Raw genomic sequence first — 3,001 nt, 5'->3', positions numbered from 1 at the left:
CAGAAAATAACAATAACACAAATTTGTTAACTTCTATAAACTGCTTACTATGGGCCAGACTGTGTGTGAAGTGCTTTATTTGTAATGTTTAATTCTTCATATCTCTAGTTTGTATGTGGTAAGTACAAACCTGAAATATTTTACGTGATTTTTACGTTTTGTAATTTTTATTTATTTATTCATTTATTTATTTATTTTTAGAGACGGGGTCTCGCTGTGTTGCCCAGGCTGGAGCGAGTGCAGTGGTGCAGTCAGTCCTAGCTCACTGCAGCCTCGAACTCCTGGGCTCAAGCAGCAATCCTCCTGCCTCAGCCTCCCTACTAGCTGGGACTACAGACTGGTCTCCATCTCCTGGGCTTTAAGGGACCCTCACCTTGTGCTGAGATTACAGGCATGAACCATTGTGACTGGAAATTTTGTAAAATTTAAACAATGTGATATTACCTATTAATGAAGTCATACTTTATGTATGTAATCTGAAATAATTCAGATAACAATTTTTAAGAATCATTTAATTTAAAATCATGCAGCCTGATTTATAACTGTTTATAATAATAATATAATAATATAATAATGATGATTTCACTTTGAACTTTTAGCTGATAAAAAGATATATTTGCTCTATTTTATAAAACTAATTTTAGCTATGCTATTTTAACATTATATAAATACTTTTTGAATACATTCTTTCAGTAAAATCCAACTACCATTATATTTGCTTTCCTCAGTATTTCTTGGGGAAGGATTCTAAATAGGGGAGCATTTGTGTATTTCTGTATGACTCTGGTTATAATGCCATTCAATGTAAGCCTTACACACACACACACACACACACACACACACACACACACACAAATGCACACACCTCCAGAATGCTGGGTTCTTGGCTCATGAATCATTGAAATTTATATAAAATTTATTTTAAATCCTATTGCAGAAAAGTTCTTAGCACATTCATGCATTTTCATGTGACCATTTTTATACTACAGTTTTAATTTTATATATTTGGGATCATTATTGTTGACCTTTTCTTTTCTTTTTTTTTAATAGAGTTTATTTTAGAGAAGTTTTAGGTTCCCAGAAAAATTGTAGAGTACAGATAGATGTATCCCATATGCTCTCTGTTCCCACACATGCATAGCCTCCCCCACTAGTAACATCCTTCATGACAGAGGTACATTTGCTACAACTTATGAACTTACACTGACACATCATTATCACCCAAAGTCCATAGTTTATATTAAGGTTCATTCTTGGTGTTGTACATTCTATGGATTTGGGCAAGCGCATAATGATATTTATTCACCATTGTGGTATCAAATAGAGTAGTTTCATTGCCCTAAAAATCCTCTGTGTTCTGTGATGGACGTTTTCATGATCACCACTGGTTCAGATTCCCTGCACTTACTAATTCCCAGTCTGCATTTATAATTATTTTCTCCCGGAGTCTCCCCACCTCCTCCCCAAAGTAAATATGGATAAACTGCTGTTGCATATAATTCACCTTGACTTAAAATTTATGGGACATAAGGAGGGAATATACCCCTTAGAGAGTTAAAAACCGAAGTCAAATATTACAACTTCTTGTCCTAAGAGTTCTCTTAGCAACCCAATCTCAGCCTCTCAAGAAAGAAAAAAATCCTCCAGTTAACATATGAAAAGAAACTCACTTTTACGTCTACGCTTGAATCTCCTAAATCACTAAAGGGCTAAGGAAAACAAATGTACTTTTCATATAATATGATCCATTCTTTTTAATAAATCCATTATAAACATAACTGCAGTGTTTTCTTATATATTTATATACTACGTGTAAGGCACTGTCTATATACCAAGATTATTCAAATTCTGTCAATAACTCTGCAAGGAAAATATTATCACTCCCACATTGTGGATGAGAAAAATAAGGTTCAGAAATGTCAATCAGATACTTTACCCAGTAAAGTTTAAAATACTAGCTTCAAAATACTGAGTCAAGTATTTGGATTTAGGTTTCTTTGTACAAAACTATGCTGTATCAATTATTATGTTAATGTTTTGTCTCTTTTTTTTCTCCTATTACATTTTAAACTCACTGATGCAGATAGCATGGACAGAAATATCCTGGCAGATTTCATAGCTGTTTAGAGCTCTCAGGTCCCTGTGGACCCATTTCCTCTGAGAGATTTTCTATTAGGAGACCACGAATCCAGTGTAGGACACAGCACCCACTACTGCTGCTACATTGTCTCAACTGTCTTGTTCTTCCTAGGATTTCTCTCTCATAGGCTCATGCTTTCCTTAGCCAGGAAGGGGGAGGAGCAGGGGGCTGGGGCCCCTAAATGGGTCTGTAGCTTCTACTTCTATCTGTTTTCCATTGTCACTAACCCTAAGTAAGGAACAAGCATTTGTTCCTTTTCAGATACCCCCTTATATTATTGCCTTATTTTAATATTTTTCTTTTTTAAAAAATTTATTTATATGTATTTATTTATTTTTGAGATGGAGTTTCATTCTGTTGCCCAGGCTGGAGTGCAGTGGCACAATCTTATTGCAACCTCCACCTCCCAGGTTCAAGCGATTTTCCTGCTTCAGCCTCCTGAGTAGCTGGGATTACAGGTGCCCAGCACCATGCCCAGCTAATTTTTGTATTTTTAGTAGAGACAGGGTGTAACCACGTTGGCCAGGCTGGTCTCGAAGTCCTGACCACAAGTGATCTGCCCACTTTGGCCTCCCAAAGTGTTGGGATTATAGGTGTGAGCCACCGTGCCTGGCCTTATTTCAATGTTTTTCTAACTGGCTTCCATTTCTTTTCCTGCCTAGAGAATTTTTATCTCCTCAAGGTGAGAAGGGGAGAGGAAAGCTTCTACTGTTGTCATTCTTCACAAATTTAAAGTTTTGAGAATGCAGTTTGACTTTTGGTAACAAAATTTTTTACTTTTGATAACTTTTGAGATTCAAAATTCTTGTATCCTATTTCTCTGTCATTCCTTTTAAGAGCCATATTGAAATTAGTACAGAC

The 3,001-nt window shown here is 35.9% G+C and overlaps 1 non-coding gene across 1 annotated transcript; it reads left to right on the top strand.

Annotated features, from left to right (window-relative positions):
* Window positions 1–220: 220 nt before the first annotated feature.
* On the top strand, window positions 221–288 carry MIR3135B (microRNA 3135b). The gene has a single exon (NR_039668.1). It is a non-coding gene; the product is annotated as a microRNA 3135b (primary transcript).
* The last annotated feature ends 2,713 nt before the right edge of the window (window positions 289–3,001 follow it).

Source organism: Homo sapiens, chromosome 6 (genome assembly GCF_000001405.40).
Source record: "Homo sapiens chromosome 6, GRCh38.p14 Primary Assembly".
Taxonomy (NCBI): domain Eukaryota; kingdom Metazoa; phylum Chordata; class Mammalia; order Primates; family Hominidae; genus Homo; species Homo sapiens.
Note: the sequence above shows the minus strand (reverse complement) of the source record. Positions and strands in the feature narration are given on the sequence as shown.